General features: G+C 44.2%; 1 protein-coding gene and 1 long non-coding RNA gene across 2 annotated transcripts, besides 5 other annotated features; one reads left to right on the top strand and one right to left on the bottom strand.

Moving 5' to 3' along the window:
• Positions 1,031 to 18,917, bottom strand: SLC20A1 (solute carrier family 20 member 1). The gene is made up of 11 exons (NM_005415.5): positions 18,727 to 18,917; positions 17,694 to 18,293; positions 17,392 to 17,532; positions 17,118 to 17,203; positions 12,058 to 12,154; positions 7,615 to 7,734; positions 5,762 to 6,031; positions 5,094 to 5,652; positions 4,284 to 4,469; positions 3,630 to 3,714; positions 1,031 to 1,992 (listed from the first exon to the last, which is right to left on the bottom strand). The coding sequence occupies exons 2-11, from the start codon at positions 18,025 to 18,027 to the stop codon at positions 1,831 to 1,833; spliced, it is 2,040 nt and encodes a 679-aa protein (NP_005406.3). The 5' UTR covers positions 18,028 to 18,293; positions 18,727 to 18,917; the 3' UTR covers positions 1,031 to 1,830.
• Positions 17,670 to 17,964: a silencer, noted in NCBI's record as "tiled region #7980; HepG2 Repressive non-DNase unmatched - State 2:TssF". NCBI's record gives its function as "represses a minimal TATA promoter and a strong SV40 promoter by Sharpr-MPRA in HepG2 cells {active_cell/tissue: HepG2}" and the evidence as "EXISTENCE:reporter gene assay evidence [ECO:0000049][PMID:27701403]".
• Positions 18,426 to 19,255: a silencer, noted in NCBI's record as "silent region_11875". NCBI's record gives its function as "represses an Ori minimal core promoter by ATAC-STARR-seq in GM12878 lymphoblastoid cells {active_cell/tissue: GM12878}" and the evidence as "EXISTENCE:reporter gene assay evidence [ECO:0000049][PMID:35858748]".
• On the top strand, positions 20,676 to 23,026 carry SLC20A1-DT (SLC20A1 divergent transcript). Its single transcript, NR_033871.1, has 5 exons — positions 20,676 to 20,757; positions 20,841 to 20,897; positions 21,563 to 21,677; positions 22,667 to 22,773; positions 22,874 to 23,026. It is a non-coding gene; the product is annotated as an SLC20A1 divergent transcript (long non-coding RNA).
• Positions 21,895 to 23,094: an enhancer, noted in NCBI's record as "BRD4-independent group 4 enhancer chr2:113399339-113400538 (GRCh37/hg19 assembly coordinates)". NCBI's record gives its function as "activates an origin of replication core promoter dependent on BRD2, P300/CBP, MED14 and CDK7 cofactors, and independent of BRD4, by STARR-seq in HCT116 cells {active_cell/tissue: HCT116}" and the evidence as "EXISTENCE:reporter gene assay evidence [ECO:0000049][PMID:35650434]".
• Positions 23,224 to 24,423: an enhancer, noted in NCBI's record as "MED14-independent group 3 enhancer chr2:113398010-113399209 (GRCh37/hg19 assembly coordinates)". NCBI's record gives its function as "activates an origin of replication core promoter dependent on BRD2, BRD4, P300/CBP and CDK7 cofactors, and independent of MED14, by STARR-seq in HCT116 cells {active_cell/tissue: HCT116}" and the evidence as "EXISTENCE:reporter gene assay evidence [ECO:0000049][PMID:35650434]".
• Positions 23,690 to 23,984: an enhancer, noted in NCBI's record as "tiled region #14161; K562 Activating DNase unmatched - State 5:Enh". NCBI's record gives its function as "activates a minimal TATA promoter and a strong SV40 promoter by Sharpr-MPRA in K562 cells {active_cell/tissue: K562}" and the evidence as "EXISTENCE:reporter gene assay evidence [ECO:0000049][PMID:27701403]".

Genomic DNA, 24,529 nt, shown 5'->3' with positions numbered 1-24,529 from the left:
ACAGACTTACTTTCACCTCTGCCATCCCTGAGACAGCAAGACCAACTCCTCCTTTCCTCCTCAGTCAACTCAAGATGACAAGGATGAAAACCTTTATGATCCATTTCCACTTAATGAATAGTAAATGTATCTTCCTTATGGTTTTATTTCCTTTTCTCTAGCTTACATTATCGTAGTACAGTATATAATACATACATATAACACGTAAAATATGTGTTCACAACTGTTTATGTTATTGCTAAAGCTTCTGGTCAACCGTAGGCTACTGGTAGTCAAGTTTTTGGAGTCAAAAGTTATACATGGTTTTTTGACTGCATGGGGGTTGGTGTCCAACCTCCACACTGTTCAAGGGTTTACCGTAATACCAAAGCTAAAAACAATCTACATAAAATAGTAAAATAAAGCTGTCCATTCAACAGTAAATCTTTGGCTGTGAAAAACCATGAGTAGGCCAGACGCAGTGGCTCATGGCTATAATCCCAGCACTTTGGGAGGCCAACACAGGCGGATCACTTGAGGTCAGGAGTTTGAGACCAGCCTGGCCAACATGCTGAAAGCTTGTCTCTACTAAAAATTAGCCAGATGTGGTGGTGGGCGCCTGTAGTCCCAGCTACTCAGGAGGCTGAGGCAGGAGAATTGCTTGAACCCAGGAGGTGGAGGTTGCAGTGAGCCGAGATCACACCACTGCACTCCAGCCTGGTGACACAGCGAGACTCCGTCTCAAAAAAAAAAACAAAAAGTATCAAAAGAAAAAACTGGAAAAACAAAACAAAAAAAACACCCGTGTGCTAACATGAAAGTGTACAGGCTGTGCTACTAAAAGGGAAAATGCCAAGTTGCCACCACAGTCCCTATGGAGTAATGTCTTGCATATTCTGGGCACACAAGAAGCATACAGGGAGGGGTTGGGAGCTTTAAGTTGGACAGTAGCTCTCACTTGTTAAGATATTCACATCACCTAAGAATGATATTAGGCTAACTGATCAGGAGCCCAGGTGATTCGAGTATGAAAGAAAACCATGAGAACAAATTTTCTAAAAACTGTAGGCTTTTTTATTCAGTTAAGAGGTAGACAAATGAACATGGAAGGCTGTCCCACTTAACTTGCCCAAAGTTCACATTCCACTTCATTCATCCATCCCACACTGCCAGAAATCTTAAAGAAATAACCAAGATTGCCAACAGGCTTTTTCTTTCTTACTTCTTCTTAGCAATAACAGTCAATAAACTGCTTGCAAAAAAGTTACTAATTTAAATTTTCACTGTGTTCAAAGAACCTCATCCCTCTAAGAAGCTCCCGAATATGCCAATAGATCCTGCCACTACTGACAGGAGGGCAGAGTACCAAGGACTCTACTTATATAAGAGACTACAAGGGAAGTTGTAGTTATATTTTTGTTGTTAAATCCCTGTGCATGTGAGGGCAGAAGCTGGTGAAACCAACAACGCAGAGCATGCTCTGTCAAACGGCTCTTCATGGTTTAAAAAAAAGAAAAAAAAATCACAAGTCATCTTCAGAGACAACATTAAAACATAATGGAATTGAAGCCTGATACAAAAAGTAGAGAAATATGTACAGGAATTCACAGCCCAGAAGGAAAGGGGACCTCAGCAGGAGCCAGTGGAACCCGGGCTATTTTACACAGCTAATTTTGAGACAATTCATATTTAGCACAAAAGCAGTTATAGCACAAGTAACACTTCCCTCCTCTGGCTCCCAAATAAAAAGACTCTTGTCAGTCTTCTGTTAACACTGTAATCATTCTTCAGGGGAGCAGGAATACCTAAGATGGTCCCAAACATTGACACAAATTTTAATCTCAAACAGCTTCACATTCTGAGGATGACATATCTGAAGATTGCCATGATGGCAGCACTGATAACTCCAGAAATGGGGACTGTGACAAACCAGGCCATAAAAATGTTACGAAAGAGACGCCAGTCAACAGCCTTCTTGGACCGGAGCCAGCCAACAGACACAACAGAGCCCACCTAGAAGAGAAGCAGACCAAGGAAACAGGTTATTGAAGTGCCAGTGGTATTCTGGCAAACAGACACCTGAGACTGTTTGGACAAGGAGCCCCAGACCCCTGGACAAGACAAAGTCCAAGAAAGCTGGTTTACAACAGGTTAAGCTGGGAAAATGAAGGCAATTTGAAAATCCAATCATAATCTATACTAACGGTAGTAAAAGGACACAAGAACTATTTCTTTTCCCCTTCTCAGCTACTGCTAAAATTTAATGAATATATACTGCTTTTATTTATTTATTTTTTGAGACGGAGTCTCGCACTGTCGCCCAGGCTGGAGTACAGTGGCGCAATCTTGGCTCACTGCAACCTCCACCTCCTGGTTTCATGTGATTCTCCTGCCTCAGCCTCCCAAGTGCTGGGATTACAGGCACCCACCACCACGCCTAGCTAATTTTTTGTATTTTTAGTAGAGATGGGGTTTCACTATGTTGGCCAGGCTGGTCTCAAACTCCTGACCTTGTGATCCACCTGCCTTGGCCTCCCAAAGTGCTGGGATTACAGGCATGAGCCACTGCACCTGGCCTATACACTGCTTTTAATAACAAATTGCATTGTAAGTCTTCCTAAGATTATTTACAGAGTGGCTGATATTAAACCTAATAAACAATTGTCTGGAGACACATCCGGGTAGCAAACAGATGACTCAGCAGGATCCATGATGGACCAGCTTAAATGCTCTTAAGGAAACCAGTTTCTTCCTTCTCCTATAATTATTAGATTGTCATCAAACAACCTTAAGATTTGTTTTGTTTCTCAGTATTTCAATCCTGAGAGGCCCTGAAATATGCCTTCTGTAAATAAACTGCTTTGCCAACATTTTGGCAAGCCTCACAGACTTGTTAGAACCAGGCCTTCAGCCACCACAAATGGCAGCAGAAACCCACCTGGCCAGAATTAAAGCACCTGCCAGTTTCTAAGCATACACCTACCCTGCTCTGAATGGCTTCCCCAAAGGCAAAGAACATAATGCTGTCGGCCGGGCGCGGTGGCTCACGCATGTAATCCTAGCACTTTGGGAGGCCGAGCCAGGTGGATCACCTGAGGTTAGGAGTTCATGACCAGCTTGGCCAACATGGTGAAATCCTGTGTCTACTAAAAATACAAAAATTAGCCAGGCATGGTGGCGGGTGCCTATAATCCCAGCTACTTGAGAGGCTGAAGCACAAGAATCACTTGAGCCCAGGAGGCGGAGGTTGCAATGAGCCGAGATTGTGCCACTGAACTCCAGCCCAGGTGACACAGCAAGACTCCAACTCATACATAAATAAATAAAACATAATGGTGCCAAGTAGAAATGACTCTTGAGATTAAAAAAAAAATTATTATAAAGAGACTACAATGAGGGAGGATAAAGTAACAAAGGAAGAGGTTAGTAGCCAGAAACTACAGTAAGCTGTATATAAAACAATGTTTCTATTATTTGGGGAGAATATCTATTTAATTGCTTAAATAAGAATAAACACAAGAAATAACTTATGAACTCTTCAAGACTCCAACTGCACAAAACTTTCTAAATCAAAGTATCAGAGAAGTAAAACTAAAAACCCTACATATTAGAAGAACCATTTGAAAGACACACATTGGCATTACACTTACTTTACAATGTGTTGTACTGATGGGAAGGCCAATATTTGATGCAATCACCACAGTGAGGGCAGATGCCAGTTCAATACTGAAGCCACTACAGACACAAAAGGATTCTTGTCAGGAAGTGAGTTTGACTTTTTTGAGAAGCTAACACTACACCTCAAGTTAACACAGTCCTGCTTTGTTCTACTCAGTCACAAAACCTCCACTGACATCTTTATTTGCTATAACCCCTAAGATCTACTTTATTTAAATCAGGCCACAGATGCCCAGTTTCCTTATTCAAAGGCTTCCAGTTTTACGTTTTTCTGGAATCCCACTATTAAATAAAATTTGCACTTTTATTTTGAAGAGTTTGGTAAACATTGAGTCTTAGCTCCCAAGACAAATAAAAGGCAAGTATACATAACTATCCGCTCTTAGCATACACAGCTTTCTCAGAAAAGTCATTTTCTTCAGAGACCACCAGAGCTAAATGGGTAAAATGTCTGACCAAAATGTTTAAGGGCCAGACAAGTAAAATCTAAAAAGAACAATGACAATAAGAACATCATGAACTTATACAAACTTGGTTACTTTAGAGATTTGTGTTAGCACTCGACAGTGTTATATCTCTGAAAAAAATGAGTACTGACATTTGTAGAACCTGCTCCACCTACTTACCTAGAGGGTGTGATCGGTGTCAGATCCTTCCCCATGGTCTGGATAACTCTTCTTCCCCAAACCCACAGACCAACACAGATACCAACACCACCATAGAGTAGAAGCCATATTGGTGTTGCCACTTTTGAAGAAACATCTCCTGTGTCATAAACCAAATATAAAGCAACCAGAGGCCCAATGGCATTGCTGGAAGAAACAAAGAGGGCAGAAGTGACTTTTCAGGCAGAACTAGATCTTGGCAAGACCCAATCTGCTGAATGATCTACCAGGTTGTCTAAAGTACAGCTTTCAAGCTCATCTGGCAAAAGGGCCTTTCTTTCTAAAGACATAAATGGAACCCCAACATACACAACAGAAAAATGAACACAGCTCTGATGGAGGGAATGCCAGGCAAATGGTGGCCTCTTTCCTCCTATAGGCAGCTTAAAGCAACTCTCAGGTTCCAATAAACAGTTTACAAACCAAACTACAAAATCATTCTATATGAAAAACTTTTAAGTTTTTCATCTTACATCTTACATCCCACAATTCACTACCAAAGAACTGAATCTCATCTTGATGGACAAAAGCCTTCTCTGTGAAGAGTATCTGTTTATATTTATCATCTACAAAAATAAACATTCTTTGTAATTCCTCTGAAGAATAAAACTGTACTGTCTTATTATGTCAATAACTGCTATTACCTCATCCTATTTGTATTATTTGGGGTCCTGTAAATGCTAGGAGTACCACTACCACAAGCACAGGCCTGTGACAAGGATAAATGGTTTAAAAATAGGGTTAGCAACACTAAGATCAATGTCAACTGACCTTACGTCATTGCCACCATGGGCGAATGACCCAAAGCAGGCTGTAAGGATCTGCAGGAACTGGAAGAGGAGAGAGACTTCAGGCTTATCCTGGTCATACCATTCTTCTAGAGAGCCATTACTTCCTTTTCTGTCACCTAGACCCATCTCTGCCTTGACACTCATGTCTATCTCAGATGCTGAGTGAAGGTCAGACACAGCATTGCAGTAACTGGTGTAACTGTCCATTCGAATTCGCTTCTTGGAGTCTGCATTAGGCCATGTCAGCTTCTCCATTTCTTCGCCCTTCTGTTCACCTTCTTTGGCACGGAATGAATCCAGAGGCATGCCACATATTGCCATGGTATAGGAAGTATAGCTATTATTGCGCCTTAAGGGTTTGTCACCGGAGTCTCCCATGCAATCTCCCACCTTGGCAAGATGTAATTTATGGAGTAGCTCTTTGTACAGGCCGGAATCCTTATGCACGGTGTGATACTGGTAGTGGCCACTGGAGTTTATTTGGTTGCTGACGGCTTGACTGAACTGGACAAGGTTCCCATTAGGCAACTGCACTGCACCTAGTCAAGATCACCAAGGTGACATTCAATACAAAAAGCATCAAATCCAAAACAATAAGCCTCCTCACCACTGCAGGTAACAAAAGTGAAACCAGGAATTCCAACTCACCATTCACGGTGCTATCTATGCTGGTTTCCTCTTTCAAGTCCACGCTGGGAAGCCTCTCTCTCTCTGGAGCTTCCTCCAAATCTCCAAGTTTGAATGAGACTGTTCTCTCCTCCACCACAGCCTGGAGGGGCACAGTGGCAGGCCCTACCTCAGAAACAGGATGCTTGTTTTCAATATCACCAACAGACAACTTTGTTTCTTCATGGTCTTCTTTCAAGCTATTCTTTTTTTCCATTAAGGGGCTTTCAGAAGGACTACACTTTATTTCTCCTAGGAAAAAAAAGGGGGGTCTTTTTTGGTTTGGTTGTGGCCATACTACTTTGTTCCACGTCTCCTTTCCTCCACCCCCAAAAAACTCATCTCAAAACAAGAATGTATGTGAACTTCAATTAACATTCAGGAACATTTTTCCTGCCTGCTTTATCATTTGCCAGCAACTCTCACTTGGGAACAACCAGCAATGCAGAACACCCTATGTCAGGGGTCCCAAAATTTTTCTGTAAATATTTTAGGTTTTACGGGCTTCTGTAGCACATTGTTGTTTTGTTTTTATTTTTACAACCCTTTACAGATATAAGAACCCTTCTTAGCTCCCTGCTGACTCATTCTGTAGGGGAAAGTAGCTCAACCATGGGGCTGATAAGCTGAAACTAAAAATCTGAACTGTACCCAATTCTATTCTTTTCAAAAGAGGATTCTCTCAAATTTCAGTCCACCAATTCAAGCAAAGTGGCACAGCTCAATGCAGGGAACTAAAGACGACAACTTTAATTTCCACCTCTATAAAACAAAGAGATGTGCATCATGGCTGTAAATCCCACAGGCAGACCAGAGTATCTTCTGCCTCTCTCATGCCAGTGCTCAGTATGCTGACCTATCCATCCAGGCACCTCAGTCAAACTACAGACTGACTAACATAAAGCAAGACTTGTCTCAACTCCTCCCAGAGAGGGAAAATGAGGCCAGAGAGTCCTGAAAGCCTGGTTCCCACCGTGCACTCGGCACAGCCAGACTAGCACAGAACCTCTCGGAGGCTCTTCGGTTCAGCTGCGGTGACGCAGCGTTCTTCCTAACACCACTGCAGTCTATGCATCCCTCAGCTTCGAAACGATAAACTTCAACTTGCTAACCCAGCCTTCACATCGATGAAAAGGGCAGAAAATGATTATTTTAAGGAAAAAAAAGTCCGATACTAACCAAAATTTACTCAGTATTTAATTACATGAGTGTGTGGTAATGGCCTAAATGATTCCTTGACACTTGAAAATGTTTACTTCTAGAATCTGTGCTACAATTCTAGCAGACACACAATGTGTGTTTGTATATGTATTTGCATTGTATACTGCAATACAATGTCTACATGTATTCTAGCCTATATACAACATGTACACATTAGACTTAGCTTTGCTTGTCTGAATCTGAAGTTATACACAGAAGCAGTTGGGGTAAATATTTCCTCTACGAAAATATCTTGTATCTACCCCTTATTTTTCATTAAGGTATCCTTCTACTTCTCAGTAAATGTAGGCTATGATTTCTCTATTTATCTATCATGTCACTGGCAACTGATCAAGGAACATAAAAAAATTCAATGCCCCAGATTGTCTCTACAGCATAGGTTGAATACTCTTTATCACTAGGTCTTAGGTCATGTAAGTCCATTTTTAAGAACAGGTCTTAGGTCATGTAAGTCCATTTCTAAAAACAGTTTGGACAACAAACCCATATCCTCAAATTTCCCTTTAAAATCTCTTATTTTGCCAATCTCTTCTAATAGATTTTTACAGGTGGCCAAATAAAAAATAAACACAACATTAGTAGTTAAACTTTTCTGCTGTTTAGTTATTACTTACGTTCAATTTTTCTCTTCATCCTGGGACATACAAAGAACCAGACGATAAGGGCACAGAAAACTGCACATCCCACCGAGATGAGGATGGTACCCCACAGAGGAAGTTTGTCAAAGCCCAGCACTAGGAGATAAAATGGTGCATCTTGAAAACCCCAGGGCAACAGCCCCCTGCAATATTGTGTAAACCCTCCTCTGGGGACTGAGGGGTTCCCCATACCAGCCCATCACCCCTGACAGCTGCTGCCAGATTTAAGTGCACAGGATTACTGTGCTAGTGCCTATACAAATTTGGGAGAAAAACTCAATGATCATCTGAAAACCCACACCAGCCTAGCCCACTTGAACACCTGCGGGACTCAAGTTCCTATGCTTCTCAACATACGAGCCTTTTCCTTTCTTCACCTTGGAAGATAATAAAGATCACTACACGCTAAGGACCTATGACTAGCTATGAAAAAGACAGCAAGTGTTCCACTCTCCTAGCTCATGATCGTAACTGCCACATATTCCATTACCACCTACAAACTTATTTTAATGTTAACAGAATGATGTCTCAGTAGTCACATTTGTCATGCTGACACAATTCTGTGTAAAAGTGATTACATTCACTATACTGGCCTTTAGTAAAATGCTTTAATGAGATTATCTCCTTGAAAGCAGTATCAAAGCAAGATACAGAAAACAAGGATATTATCTATCAAAAGTTGATAATTTAAGAATAGTTGTAAAAGCTTTGTCTTTCAGCCAGGCACGGTGGCTCATGCCTGTAATCCCAGCACTTTGGGAGGCCGTGGCAGGCAGATCACTTGAGGTCAGGAGTTCGAGACCAGCCTGCCCAACATGGCAAAACCCCATCTCTACTAAAAATACAAAAAAAAATTAGCCGGGCATGGTGGTGGGCGCCTGTAGTCCCAGCTACTCGGGAGGCTGAGGTGGGAGAATCACTTGAACCTGGCAGGGCGGAGGTTGCAGTGAGCTGAGATTGCGCCACTGCACTCCAGCCTGGGTGACAAAGTCAGACTTTGTCTCAAAAAAAAAAAAAAAAAAAAAAAAAGTTTTGTCTTTCTCACACACAAAGTTTAGTGGTAATTTCACTTACAAGTCTTACCTTAAAAAAAGACTTGCCTAGCAACACTGTTCACATGGTTTAAGAATGAGTAATATTAGTCATTATCTGACTGTCATATGCACGCCAGTAGGCTCCAAACCATTAGCCTGTACTAAAGACAGAAGTAAAGCACTGGCCAGGCACAGTGGCTCACACCTGTAATCCCAGCACTTTGGGAGGCTGAGACAGGTGGAGCACCTGAGGTCACGAGTTCAAGACCAGCCTGGCCAACATGGTGAAACCCCGTCTCCACTGAAAATTAAAAAAATCAGCTGGATGTGGTGGTGGGCTTCTATAATCCCAGCTACTTGGGAGGCTGAGGCAGGAGAATCACTTGAACCCAGGAGGTCGAGGTTGCAGTGAGCCAAGATCGTGCCACTGCACTCCAGCCAGCCTGGGTGACAAGAGCGAAACTCCGTCACAAAAACAAACGAAAAGAAGTAAAGCACTATACAATCCTATTTAAATCTAACAGATGTTATAATGATCTCTAGCTACTCAGGAGACTGAAGTGTGAGAACACCCTGAGCCCAGGAATACAAGGCCAGCCTGGGCAACACAGCAAGACCCCATCCCTGAAAAACAAAAAAGGTAAAAAAAAAAAAAAAAAACCCATAAAAGATATTATAATGATCTGTAGTTGATATCTAGGAATAGCTTAGTTACTTCTGCTTGTTTTGCTTTATTTTGCTTGTTATGTACGAAATCACAGATGCTCCTCAACTTACAATGAGGTTATGTACCTATAAACCCATCAAAAAGTCAAATAACTGAAGGTTGAACCATGAAGTCAGGGACTGTTTGTACTTATAAACTGGAAATTCTATCATACCCCAAAATGATTAATCTTTAAAAATCAGACACAAGGCCAGACGCGGCAGCTCACGCCTGTAATCCCAGCACTTTGGGAGGCTGAGGTCCGTGGATCACCTGAGGTTGGGAGTTCAAGACCAGACTGACCAACACGGTGAAACCACGTATCTACTAAAAATACAAAAATTAGCTGGGCGTGGTGATGCACATGTGTAATCCCAGCTACTCGGGAGGCTGAAGCAGGAGAATCGCTCAAACCCGGGAGGTAGTGGTTGCAGTCACCCAAGTTCGCACCACTGCACTCCAACCTGAGTGACAGGGCGAGACTCTGTCTCAAAAAAAAAAAAAAAAAAAAAATTAGAAACAAATTGAGGTCCCTTCAAAACTAAAACTTTTTTTGTTTTTGAACTTTTTTTTTTTTTTTTTGAGACAGCATCGCACTCTGTCGCCCAGGCTGGAGTACAGTGGCACGATCTTGGCTCACTGCAACCTCCGCCTACCAGGCTCAAGTGATTCTCCTGCCTCAGCCTCCGAAGTAGCTGGGATTACAGGCGCCTGCCACTGCACCTGGTTAGTTTTTCTAGTTTTTAGTAGAGATGAGGTTTCACCAACTTGGCCAGGCTGGTCTTGAACTCCTGACCTCATGATCCACCCACCTCGGCCTCCCAAAGTGCTGGGATTACAAGCATGAGCCACCGCGCCCGGCCCCAAACTACAATTCTATGGTGACTATGTATCTTTTCATTTTAAATTCTGCTTTCAATTTTGATCATGTGGTCACACAAACTAAAATATACATGAAATTACTGTCTATCACAATTTAAGTTGGTCTACATTCCAAGTCAAAAAGGAAAGAGACTGGTTTTTCTTACAAATGATCCATAAAGGACACAACGAAAATATCTAAGTTTCTGTTTTTAAAATGATTCTAATTTCACTCATCTCTGAGCTTTGCTTCTACCACATAAAGAATGAGTGTTAAGAGCATCATGGGAGACTTTTTAGTTTATCACAAAGAACTGTTTACAATGGAAATCTGGCATACAAACTTCTCTTCACCGGCACATAGCAGTTCAGTATAGTCTAAGTAAGAACAATATTTTCTTAAAGTTGTCTGTTTCGTTCCTGATTATTCCAAGAATTAATTAGCAAGATTAAAAATACTTAGCTCCATCTAACAAAATACACATATAATCCCTCAATCTAAAATAAGGTAAAAAATTAAAATATTGGCGAGGTGCGGTGATCATGTCTGTAATCCCAGCACTTTGGGAGGCTGAGGCAGGCGGACCACCTGAGGTCAGGAGTTGGAGACCAGCCTGACCAACATGGAGAAACCCCGTCTCTACTAAAAATACAAAATCAGCCGGGCTTGGTGGTGCACGCCTGTAATCCCAGTTACTTGGGAGGCTGAAGCAGGAGAATTGCTTGAACCCGGGAGGTAGAGGTTGTGGTGAGCCAAGATCATGCCATTGCACTCCAGCCTGGGCAACAAGAGCAAAACTGTCTCAAAAAAATAAATAAATAATAAAAATATTTAGCTAACTCTACTTTGGGTCAGCAACTTACTACTTCAGTGAGGTTTAAGAGCAAGTCACAACCCATTACTCAAAACTGAAATCATTTCAGTGGGCCACAACAAATGTTAAGAAAAAAAAAAAGAGAGAATTTGAAAATATGGGTGCATAGCACATAGTAAGCATTAAGTGGCTTCATGACACTATTCCAGTTATCTTTCTCTCTACATACATACATGTGTGTCCTGTATTTCATCCAGTGGGTCACAGTATAAAGAATAAAAGTCACTGCCTATGTAGTCACAGACCATCAGGCCAAATGAGTCTAGATACCAAAACTGTACTGTCCTGCCAGTTACAAGTTACCAATCTTTTGTTGTTGCTAAATTAAACTTGTAGCGCCATAATTTAATCCATGCCTTGCCTTAGTCCCAAACATGAAAGTCATCAACATTTCAACCTTTATATTCTCACAAATTATTTTTCCTCTTAGCTGCATGAATTTCTTCTTCCAAGTGCACTTAGAGCAGGTGGTAAACATCCCAACTCTTCTCATTCAAGCAGATTCATGGAAGTTTAGTACTTAGAAACAATAGTATCTCCATTTGGGAGAGAAAAATGAGAATATCCAGCAAACCAGTCCTAAATGACTGATTACTGAAGATCAGATATAACTAATGACTTCAGTAGTTGAGGTCAGTATTAATTCCAGCATTTTTAGCATAGACAGGAGAAAGGGAAGGAGATGATCATATTATCAGTGGATCCTGTGAAGACTAAAGAGGAAAGGTCTGTAGTGATTTAGAATCTGAGCAGGTCTCTTTGGTTGAAAAACTATCTAGGTTAACTCAGCGTACACTAGCCTGCAGCCTTCTGAAATGGGCGCAGGCCAGCCACCTTCTAGGAGATTTCAGCCCTGTAAAGCAAAAAGGGGTAAATTGGGCATTTAATGCAAGTTTTGTAAACAACTTTAAATTCACATTTAAATATTTTGATAGGTACTTACACGGTGCTCCAGTATACATGATGGAAAAGAGGTTTATTCCAACTGTGCAGGCATAGAAAACTGGCAAAGCTCGCAAACCATTAGGAACTGGATCTGCCTGTAAAACATCATTAAGATCAATATCTTAAAAGGTATAAAGGTTAACCCATTTCCACAGAATCTTTTAACAGGGTAGGTTTGGGAATTATAGTGCCAATAACTCTCTCCAGAGTAGTTTCCAAGGACAACAGAGTTTTTCCTGCATTTGCATCTGGAATTCTTCCTACGAAGGCTAATTCCAACTTCTACCTGTTTTTTTTTCTTTTTTCTTTTAATAACAAGACTAACTGTACCAGTGACTGATAACATCCTGAATAAAGATTGCAATACCCACATTCTAAGGTACCCAAAAGCCCTAATATAAACTTCAGCACACACCTGAGGATAGGCTATACTCTACGTTTGTAAGAGATGTCAAGAAATAGACTATGTTAGGATGTTGCTTACCTGACTTCATATCTTCAAAGACTAAAAATACAACATGCAGACTATGCGTACGCCAACCATCTTATCTAAACATCTGACAAAGATGCCACAATTAATGCTTTACCGAAGTTCAATGATAATAACTGATTGTGCACAAGGTCATCCACTCACTCAAAAGACTGTGTGCCAAGTGCTATTCTGGGCACCGAAATATAGGAGGGAATAAGACCAAGTTCCTGTTCTAATAGAACTGACACTCACCTTCTAGTATGGAATAATGTAAAGTACTGACAAATGCTGTGAAGAGAAATAAAGAAGGGTAAGAGGAGAGTGATGGAAGGGGGGGCACCATTTGGGTGGGGAGGGTCAAGGAATAAGCATGACATAAATGTAGTAAGCTAGCAAGCTGTGTACATTAACTATGGGTACAGAAGGGGCAAACCACCTGATTATTTGGGCGCTGAATGTTCCAGACAGAGATATCAGCAAATGCAAAGGCCCTAAGGCAAAAACTTGAAATGTTTAAGGAACAGTAAGGCCAGTGACTAAAAATAAGAATTCTACCATACCTAGTATGTATTAATTCTATAGGAGAACACCCAAGTCAAACACCGAAAGAATGGGAGGAGGCTGGGCGCGGTGGCTCACACCTGTAATCCCAGCACTTTGGGAGGCCGAGGCAGGACAATCATGAGGTCAGGAGATCGAGACCATCCTGGGTAATACGGTGAAACCCTGTCTCTACTAAAAATACCAAAAAAATTAGCCCGGATGTGGTGGCAAGCATCTGTAGTCCCAGCTACTCTGGAGGCTGACTCAGGAGAATCACTTGAACCTGGGAGACAGAGGTTGCAGTCAGTGGAGACTGGGCCACCTCACTCCAGCCTGGGCAACAGAGTAAGACTCCATCTCAGAAAAAAAAAAAAATTGGGAGCAAAGATCTGAATACATATATGGGAAGGCTAAAAACTTTATAAAGACCTTAGCCTAAAAGGTTTAATGTTATCTTGATCACAATTCCAGTGGAAAATCTTGGGGAGGAAAAACAGAAAGTAAAACCCTACAGCTTCCAACAATAATCAATACACTGGAAAGTTAGTAGCTTAAGACCAGTGAAACAAGGGAAAGCTCAGACCCATGTGTAAAGTAAAGGTACCATTTCAAATTAGCAGAGATGAGCACTCATTGAAAACCACTCTAAAATTTAACTCTTATCTATAGTTTAATAGAGAATGTTAACAGATAGTGAAATAGCCAAAACAAAAACAATAGCATACAGAAATCAAGAACTGTTAAGCATCCTTGAATAACTAACTCAACGGTGGTCAAACTCTGAGGGCAGTCAACAAGATTAGGAAACTAAGGTGTGTATTTTTATTCTAAAGACTAGTCTTAAGAAAATGCAGGTCAGGTGTGGTGGTGGCTCATGTCTGTCTGTAATCCTAGCACTTTGGGAGGATGAGGCAGGGGATGGCTTGAGCCCAGAAGTTCAAGACCAACTTAAGCAACAGAGCAAGACTCCACCTCTATAAAATATAAAAAGTTAGCCAGATGTGGTGGCACACACCCATAGTCCCAGCTACTCTGGAGGCTGAGGCAGGAGGATCACTTGAGCCTGGGAGGTCAAGGCTGCAGTGAGCTACAATTAAGTCACCGTACTCCAGCCTGGGTGACAGGCGAGACTTCGCTTAAGAAAAAAAAAAAGCCAGGTGCAGTGGCTCAAGCCTGTAATCCCAGCACTTTGGGAGGCCAAGACGGACAGAGCACCTGAGGTCAGGAGTTCAAGACCAGCTTGACCAACGTGGTGAAACCCCGTCTCTACCAAAAATACAAAAATACTAGCCGGGTGTGGTGGCGCCTGTAATCCCAGCTACTCAGGAGGCTGAGGCAGGAGAATTGCTTGAGCCCGAGAGGCGGAGGTTGCAGTAAGCCCAGATCGTGCCACTGCATTCCAGCCTGGGCAACAGAGTGAGACTCCGTCTCAAAAAAAAAAAAAAAAGGCTCCAAAAAACCCAACCCAAGACTCCCACCCCCAAAAATTTCCTGGGTTTTAAAGACATTATGTGGGGACTTCTCAATAGATTTTCAAAGATATTTCGTAATATGATTATCCATAAATCAAATTGTAATTGACTAGTCTGAAGTAGCAGCCTGTGTATTTATTATCCTGTATAGCATAGCCCAATTAAGTATTCCCTGAGGTAAACAAATCTGAGGTATTCTCTACGCAAAGTTGTTGGGGATGGGGTAGGGTATGAATGACACTACTATACCAATAGTTTATTGTGAAATACAGGTTCATGGTTAAAAAAAAATCAAAAGTTCCAGAGAGTCTAGGAAGAAGGTAAAACAAGAAAGGTCTCATCATTGTAGAGATCCACCTAACACACAAGTAAAACTTCACCTGGAAATAATGTGAATGCCTCATCGTCTAGTCATGTGGGACAGGAAAGGTCTTCACAAAACCCCCCATCTTCACCAGAATAGTTCACTTTTACATATTGGATATTCTGGTTTTGTCTAAAGAAAAGGGAAGACATCCTAAATATATTTCTAACTAATGAGAATGCCAAAAGCCCTATTTTCTTTGACTAGAATTTAAAAATACTCAACAGGAGCACTGAAGCATATTCCTTCTGTGCGATGCCAGTCCTAAATAGAAGTACCTCACCTCCATTCTGTCTGTTCCCACCTATCCCCAACATGCTTGGAACAAACATTCAGAGAATAGAAAATGTTTAAAAGCAATTTTTTGAAATTAAAAAAAAAGGTCATGTTAATCTTAATTTTCAAGATAGACATTTAAGAGTTGGAATATATCTTAATGGTCAAATATTCAGATTTTAGCAGTTAAGATACCAAAAGCTTACCAGTCTAAGGATATTTTCTTGAAATTTAACTCCTAAAAGGAAGCAGAAATATTCATACTCAACTGAAAACTCCTGTTACTGAGGGATTGGCCTGCAAGAGTGTGTGTGTGCACGTGCACAGAGTGGGGGAAGATCCTCAAAGTCAATATTGTTTTAAACACTATGCCAATCATTCTTCATCATTTGATCATGCCCATTCCCATACCCATATAGGAAATATACAATTAAGAAATCAGTTACCGTATCTAACTTCAGCCCTCAATAACACCGTGGGGGTATGCATTCCTCAAATGAGAGGTTCTGGGCACCTGAGAATCCCTCTTTGCACCTCAGAGCACCACCATTCCCCTTCCGGGGAATAAGTGTTTTGTGGAGGTGAAACACACAAACCCTCTCCAAAAACAAAATGATCTGCTACTCAATAATCAACACAGGGCCAGCATAAACCTTTACCAAGCAGGAATTCACAACAGGAGATCCTACTAATGCTTCTGACTCTCTGCTAAGTAGCAAGATATACAGTTCTAATGAAAACTCTAAAAAAAACAAAAAAATCTGGTCCATGACTACTGGTGAGCCTCTAATTTAAGCATCCCAGTATCATACACTACAGTTGTAGGGAGTGGGAAGGTAGATGCTTATCGTACCTGTCTGCTGAATAAAACAGTACCAAACTTAGGAGTCCATAAATATCAATGAACTGTTTACTCTCATATTATACCAGGCTAAAGATATTTCAAGTTTTCAAAGTGTTAAACTGCTATATTCTGCCAGATTCTGGCTATGGAAAACAGTGATTAGTGAATCACTTTACTAGTCATAGAATTTCTACAGAGAAGAGACAAATCTTTCCCTAGAGAAGCTTACAACTAGACCAGACAAGTGGGTCTGAATACATTCTTACCTGCTGGGATTTATGCTATCTCCCTCAGATTTCTACAGTTTAGGAACACTTTTAAGAACTTACAATGGATTGTTAAGAGCCATTCACCTTAGAAAAAGGACAACTTTGTTTCCTGAGAAAAATGCATTTATCCTCACTGTAACTCAGTCCTATGCCAACATAATCCCTTGTCAACATTTATTTTGCAGCCAGCAAGACTTCTTGATAAAAGAAATGCAAACTGGGTCACTTAAAAGGGATTTTCAAATGGACAGGAAATTAAATGGCTGCCTGAAGTTTTTTTGGGGGGCGGGCCAAAAACTACCTTTAACTGGTTCTTTTCAACTATTCTGAGAAATTGGAGTCAAGTCACTATGGGAGGCAGAGTCCTCATCTAGAAGCTTATAAACTGGTTATGATAATCAGCACGGCAGAGACCCATTTAACTGGCAGCTTAGTTAAAAAAGCCACAGGGGACACTGTCTTGAACTCCAAGTTTACGTATTATATTAGCCTGAATATAACAGTGGTTTAAACAAATAATGTGTATACAGCTACACAAAACCACGCAAAATAAATTTCCTTATTTTTTTGCTCCCAGTTTCTCCTACTTCTTGGCACATCATAGTATTCAATTTTTCCTTCCTGACTGCCCTCTTGAGTATTAAAAACTCGCTTTCAGAGAACTCCACAACATACAAGAAATGCACAGAACAAAGAGCTTTTTAAAATTTTCCAAGGCCGCATACCTATACACCAATCACATCTGCAAAAGTACCACTGGGTTTGAAATCGATTGGGTGTGCTCCATGAAAGGTCTTCATACGGGGGAGAAAGGTTACCTTATGGAGGATGAATGCACGAACCAGGAAGAATAAAATTCCAGACATAATTCCAGAAAGCAGTGGGGACACGAACCAAGACATCACTGGAATAGAACACATTAAGAAAAAATATCAAATAATGAAAATCAGAAACCAAAAACCACTTTAAATGTTTAAGAGTTCAAAATTCTTGGGTCTGTCCCTCGACGTTAGAACACATCCTCCCATACCTAATGCCATGGTAACATATGACGAAAACGAAAATTAAGAAGCCGTTTGGAATTAAACATACCAATTTTTATCAGTTCAGACCACTTGACACCCTCCTGCCCCTTTGCCACGAGGGAGAAACCAATAGTTGCACCAACAATACAATGGGTTCCAGAAATAGGGAGCTTCAAAAACGAAGCCACGAGTTGCCACACAGCAGAACCTGAAACATAGTAAAGTTTTATTAAGTAAATATCAAAATTCCATTATGTAAGTGGCACATTCAGAAAGGTTAATCGGAAAGGTTATGCACAAAAATGGAACCACCCATGATACAAATTTGCTCACCCACCACGAAGAGGACAAAACATAAAAAGAACTTACCAAACATAGCACTGACTGAGCCGGCCATCAGCAGCCCTTGAGTCGAGTTGTACATCTCCACGTCAATCAAGCCCTTCCGGATGGTTTCGCTCACTTTGGCCCCCAGTAAGACAGAGCCCACTGTTTCAAAGATGCTAGCTAGGATGCAGGCTTGCTTCAGGGTCACTACACCTGAGCCCACAGCTGTACCAAAAGAATTTGCTACATCATTGGCTCCCACGGAGAATGCCAAGACAAATGCAATAATGAAGCCCAGGATGAGCATCCATAGGTAGTCCACCAAAGGACCAGAAGCGGCGGTAGCAGCTGTAGTACTGGTAATCAGCGTTGCCATTCTCTGGAGTAGTGGTTGTTTAGTAAGAGAACTACTGAGCGCCTTTCAAGATGTGTAAACAGAATATGAGGTATCAAAAATGCTATAATAAATAATATATATTATATAAAATTAAATACTGTAAACTACGGCACAGAAACCGAGCTGGGGAGTTACTGCTATACGCTGCGTATGGGCATCTGTTGTCTGGGGTTTCTTTGGCTCAGGAGGGCTAAAAGCACGGAGCAGAATTCCATGGCGGAGAAGAGAAAGGACGCAAGTTCATCCTGCGGGGGAGGGGGGAAATAACAATAGCTGCGTGCCCCTGGGGGGCCAGTGGGGCACCCCGCTCTACCCACGCGCCCGGGGTCCCGCAATAGCCTCTGCCGGCTACTCCAGACCCCCATCCCCAGTAGGACGCGCGAGAAGGAGAGGCACGTGGCTCCGGGTCCTCCGCGGCCCGCGCGCGCCCAGCCCAGCCCCTGCGCTGCCAGCCCGCGCGCGCCCTCCGCGCGAAAATCGGAAAAGGGCCGTTCCCGCGCGCGCCGCCCGGGGACCGCCAAAAAGGCCCGCGGGCGGGCAGACGGGCGGAGTGGAGGCGGCCAGCGGCGAAGAGAGAAGCCAGCCGCGCCGCCCACGGCGTCCGCCTCCAGCGCCACGGCGTCCGCGCCCGGCCCCGGGGAGAAGAAAGAGCCTTTACGAGGCGGCGCCACTACTCACCAGGGAAAAGGGAGGGCGGAGCGGGAGACGAGGAGATCGAGGCGACAGCGGCTGGAGCCACGGGCACACGGCCCGGGTCGGCGGCACCGGGGACAGCTCAGCGGGACTCACGACCTTCCCAGGAAGCAGCCGCGGGGGTTTCAGCGGCCGAGAAGAAGAACCACGCAGAGAGCGCCGGCAGCCATCACTCCAGCGGAGCACCCCGCCGGCCCCTACTTATAGCCCGCGCAGCGACCCGCGTGACCCCGCCGCGCCTCGCGCCGGCCCCGAAGCCCCGCCCCCGGCATGACGCAGCCCTCCTCGGCCCGGCGTGCCCAGCCGGGTGAGCCCGACGGTGGCGCTCATTGGCCCGGCCCGCTTCGGCGGCCACGCCCCCAGCGGGGAGCCGGTCCACGTGGGGCGGGACAGCCCCCTCCCTGCGGCCTCGCCCTGGAGTCTCGGCACCGTCTGGCCCCGCCGGCTGATTACAGCCAGAGATCGAGGGGGACCTCGCTGTCCCCCTAGAGGCCGTCATGCGGGGTTACAGAGGCTGCGACCAAAGTCATTCCTAGCTCCTCTCTCGGGGCTCCGGAAAGCCGTCCGCGCCTCCAGCCGCACTTTCAGCGCACGCAGGACCTGCCGCGCCCGGTGGCCACACCCGTCCCTCTGCCGGGTGACGCTGCGGGAGATCTTGCGCCCTGGGGCTCCGGATCCAGTTCTGGCACGTTGTTGCACCTGTGACTTGTCCTTGGCCTGGCACTGTCCCTCGCCTGGGGGAAGCGGGGGGGTGGGGGGGGGATGCTCACGTGGTCGCTTTGCTCCCGCAGTCATGCACTTGGGTGAAAACAGACTGAAGAGTCACGGGAACCAGCTTGTCTCCCCAGTTATGGCGCAGAGCTGCAAGGATGGCTGTGGGTCATTAATTTCTCCGTGGCTGACCTGTGTTTGTAACGCCGCAGCTGTTGCGAGGGGGAAGGACACTGCTTCGGATTCAAATTCTGACTCCTTGCTGCAGTGTGTCACCTTGAGCCAGTCCCAGATCTCTGCGTTCTCACAATTGTAAAATGTTAACAGAGGCTGCCTACCTTGTGGCTGGAATTAAATGAATTAACGTGTGTGAATGTGACTAGAATTCAGTACATGTTCAGGAAAAGCTGATTTCCGCTTTGCTGTTACCGTGAATATTACTGTTTTAGGGTGTAGAAAAGGGTGGAAGGGGATGTTATTGCATCCTGGAAGCTTATCCTTTTGAGGTAAAGATTGATTTCTGGTCCCCTGCGTGGTATATAGTGTAGTTTTGACATTATTTAGATGTGTTATGCACATTTGGGTGTTGATTATATGGCTTACGATCAAGACTAACCAGTCATGCCGTGGGAGATTAAGGTCGTGGTCTCTTGTCAGGATTGTAGTGAGATTTAAAAATTCCAGCCAGAAATACCAGGCTTAGAATGCTCTGAAGCCCTCCCCACATTTTTGCCATCTCTAGCAGGAGGGCACTGCATAGCAGAAACAAAGACGTTGTAAATTGTTGCTGCCTGAGTCATTTATAGAGGCTTAAACAACCTGAATGTCCTCTGACCTACCTGTAACATTTGATGGAGTTGTATGAGTAACTTACAAAGCTGTAGGTCCCAAGGTCGGTCTGAAAAAGAAAGTTCATATCCGGGAGCACTGACCCCGTAGTGTAATCCTGGCACCTTAAAACGTACTGCTCCCTCCACCTTCACTTCAAGGTTATGAAAACATTGAGTAAAAGGGATGATCTGTTCAAAGTCCTTAGTGTTCTGCCAATTTAAAACAGTAATTTTCAAAGCAGTTATTTGCAAGGAAATTGCCTAGAACTTCTCCCAGTGTGCGGTTGTTTTGTGTGTTTGTGTGTGTGTTTTGTTTGTTTGTTTTCAGTCTGTCCACAGGCGTACTTTTATAGGTCTGTGATAGTAGGTAGCTCTTCAAGTTGGCAAACACCTGCTGGACAACCCCTGAGAGATTCATCTGAGTGAGAGAGCACTCTCCAGCCCCATCGGAGTGGGTTTGCAGGGAAATCATAAGGTAGAGATTCAAAGGAATTCCCTTGCGTTGCAAATGAAAACTGTATCTTCAGACTCTGATATAGTGTAATCCTTCCTTTTTAGGAAGAAATCCTTATCTTTCCAACACTGAGATGCTTCTGCCGAAGAGTAGAATGGGAGGTGAGGAATTGGGGTGGGCCCTCACTGCTTTGCCTCCGGATCAGTAGGGTACAGCCCTTGGAGACCAGGATCTTCCTTGGCTGGGACACCTTCGTCCTCCCCTAAGGGAGGAGAGGTAGGGATCTGCCTGTGGAAAGAAGTTACAGTGCCTTTTAAATAGAAATAGGAGGTAGGAGGACCGTCAGTTGTCAGTTCGTGCACAAATGGCATTGTTTCTGGCCTTATCTCTGAATGCTGAGGAAACAGGTCAGAGATCCTAAAGAGAATCTAATCTCTTAGAATCCAGGCATTGGCACAAACCCCCTCTAGCATCTTAGGGAGGTGGTTTGGTGTAGTGGTTAAACACATAGACTGTAAGACCAAACCACCTGCTCTGTCACTCACTAGTCCTGTGACCATAGGCAAATAAATTATCTGCCTCAGTTTCCTGATCTGTAAAGGGGTGAGATTGAGACTTCTAACTCACAGTGCTGTTGTGAGGACCAAATGAATGAATATATGTAAAGCCCTTGTAAAAGGGCTCTTATTCTCTTTGTTCAATAACTAGCTGAAGGCCTGTCATACATAGCCCATGTTTAAAATGAAGTATGTGTCAGATGTCAGGACCACCCTCTTCTCCCTGCCCTCTGATCCAAGCCCTTTCAAATTTCTCCCACGGCTCATAGTGAGGGGACACGCAAAACGGGCTGCTGCCGGAGGAAGAGGAACAGTGTTGTGGCTCATGCCATATGAATGGGCTCACTGGCCTGGCCCAGACCCTGACTGCCCACAGGATCTTTGGTGAGTCACTGTCACTGAGCCTGTGAGCCTAGGGTCCCTCTCCAACCTCACCCTCAGAGAGGACAGAACAAGATGACCTGTGGCATGCTGCAGAACACCATGTTGGGGACTGTGGGTTTAGAGTCCTCTTGGGGACATGTCCATCGTTCACTAATTCGGTGGAGTTGAGCTGCTGAGAGCTAGGAAAGCTACTCTCCCCCCGGATCCCAACCTAGCCCTGTGGAAGACCAGACAAAAGAAGGAAGCAATGACATTTCTGCACTTTTTAGTTCAGAGAGGCACAGTCAAGGAAATGCATTTGAGGTCACTGTTCGATGTACTTGAAGTACTCATCCTGGAAATAGTCTACTTGGAGTAGAGGGAGCTCAAGTGGGCATGGGAACGTTGTGGAACCAGACCAGGAACAAAGGCGGCTTCAGAGGCCGTCTGTGAGGACTTGCATGGGAGCAGGGGCGAGAACATCCAGGGAAGAGAAGGTAGGAGCCTTGGAGTAAAGGAGAACCAGCTCCTCTCCACCCACCAATGCCCTCCCCATCCCCAGATGAATGAGGTAATAATAATACCTGTAGCTGGACATGGTGGCTCAAGCTTGTAATCCCAGCATTTTGGGAGGCCAAGGCGGGTGGATCACCTGAGGACGGGAGTTCGAGACCAGCCTATCAACATGGAGAAACCCTGTCTCTACTAAAAATACAAAAATTAGTTGGGCACGGTGGTGCATGGCTGTAATCCCAGCTACTTGGGAGGCTGAGGCAGGAGAATCACTTGAACCCGGGAGGCGGAGATTGCGGTGAGCCAAGATCGTGCCATTGCACTCCAGCCTGGGCAACAAGAGCAAAACTCCATCTCAAAATAATAATAATAATAATATCTGTGATGCAGTTGAATGCTTACTGTGTGCCAGGTACTATTTCAGGTGCTCTGCATGGATTATCTCAGGTGATGCTCTCAATAAATCTCAGATGAGGTATTTTCCCCTTACTTTATAGACAGAGAAACGGAGGCACAGAGAAGGAAGCGGCAGTTAAAGCTGCGAAGAACCTAACAAATTTCAAGATTGTAAGTGCCTTTTCCCAGGATGCCAGCAAGTACTGAGGCAAGTATGATTGCCCTAGGTGCCAACTCTTATTTGCACTTAACACATTTACTTCCTCCTTCTTTCCCCCTCCTTTTTATTAACTCTGTTGCTTTTACAGCCTGTATTTTGAGCTGCATCAAACCCTGTTGGAATAAAAAAGGACATTTCTAGGAGATCAGTCTTCGAGATTGGCCCCAGTTTCCCCAGAGTAGGAAGAGGCAGGAAGCCAGAGCACATGTTCTCTCCAGAAATAAAGTTGTTGCAGTGGCCTAACCGTGTCTTAGAGTTACTGAAAACTCTGTTCTCTTGAGATTTCTCAAGAAAGGAAACCTATCTTGCAAGACAAAACCCACCTGTAGTCAATTCCTACAGGAAATAAATTCAAAATAATGTTTCAGGCAAGGGCCACATGTCACCACCACCACTTTCCCACCAGCTTTGAATGTGGCTGTCCTCTGTGTCTCCAGTCATTTCCCATTTCCCCCGGCATCTGTGGCTCTGTCCTGGCAGAGTCCAAGGGATGCTTGGGATCCAGGTGGGGGAAGGGTGCTTGAAAGCACCCAGACAGCCAAGCCCTGATATGGAGACTGGTTGAGACTGGTTGTGACTGGTCTCAGGCCAGCATCCCATGGCAAGAAAGCTGAGTTTTGGTTGTGCCAGACAAACTGGTGGGTCTATTTCTCCGCCAACACAGGAGTATGGGAGGTTGGCCCACCCTCTCTAGATTTTACATGCCTCTGTCCTGGCTGCACATGGCCTGGTCTCTTCCCTTTGGCTTTGAGTTCACACATGTGGGTGTGATATGGCATAGGAGCCAGGCAGAGGGAACAGAAGCACAGTTCTTAGAGCTTGAAATGGTCCAGGTGTCTCTGGAGCCAGCTTCTGGATAGCACAGCATCCTGAATACTTCTTTAGGAAGACGTCTCTGGTGACTTAAACTGGGACTTCTCGCTTTCCCCAAGGCCCAGTTTTCTCAGCTCTTAAACAGGGAAGAAAGGCAACTTGCTGGAAACTCAGGAACTTTGTGTAATGAAGATCCTACAGCAGAAAAGGAAGGGTCAGCTCGCTGCCCGCACAGTCCAGGATGTGTGGTTTTAGGCTGAGAAAGTGAGGGGGCAGCAGGACGTGAGTCATCCCCAAAGTCATCCCAGGAGGAGGTGGAGGGTAACAGCATCTGGCTTTGTATGGCTTCCCTAGCCTTTCATTCATTCGTCTGTTCAGTCAACAAATAGCCTGCTATGGATCTAGTGGATCAACAAGATTGACCAGCCCATGCTTTTATGGGCCACAAACCCCTTCTTGCATTGAGTTTCACACTGAGGACTGGCCATGAATACAACAGCCAAAGAGGCAAAGTCAATCTCTCCCTTCCCCCAACAGACCTGCCACTTCTGGACATGAACCACACACCTCATCTTCCAGTACATCCTTATTTATCATTCGCTCTCTCTACAGACCAGAGCACAGGAGACTGTGCCAGGCCACTCACTGCACAGTCCACTCCACCACTGCCGAGGCTCTTGCTCCCCAGCATTCCTCTTCCAGGGTCAGTGCCCCTCACTTGTCTGATCCCTTCAGCAAGAGAAAGCTTCCCAACAAGACCCCCCACCTCAGAGCTTGCTGGGCACAAAAAGCTGAGTTTTCAGGGAGGGAGTAGGGCCTGGGGCTGTACCTCTGCTTTCCTGGTCCAGAAATTCAGGTGTTTGGGGCACTCAAAGAGAGGCTTCTGCTATTGGGAACTGCCTCATGGGAGACTGAGGTTCTGAGCAGAACC

Source organism: Homo sapiens, chromosome 2 (genome assembly GCF_000001405.40).
Source record: "Homo sapiens chromosome 2, GRCh38.p14 Primary Assembly".
Taxonomy (NCBI): Eukaryota; Metazoa; Chordata; class Mammalia; order Primates; family Hominidae; genus Homo; species Homo sapiens.
This window is presented reverse-complemented; position numbering and strand designations above follow the sequence as displayed.

Excerpts from the sequence above, each read along its gene's own strand:
- SLC20A1 (NM_005415.5), bottom strand. The coding sequence starts at position 18,027 with ATGGCAACGCTGATTACCAGTACTACAGCTGCTACCGCCGCTTCTGGT. Across the intron at positions 6,032-7,614 it reads GATGAAGAGAAAAATTGAAC|GAGAAATAAAGTGTAGTCCT; the intron begins GTAAGTAATAAC and ends TTTTTTTCCTAG. Across the intron at positions 1,993-3,629 it reads TCAGTACAACACATTGTAAA|GTGGGCTCTGTTGTGTCTGT; the intron begins GTAAGTGTAATG and ends CTTCTCTTCTAG.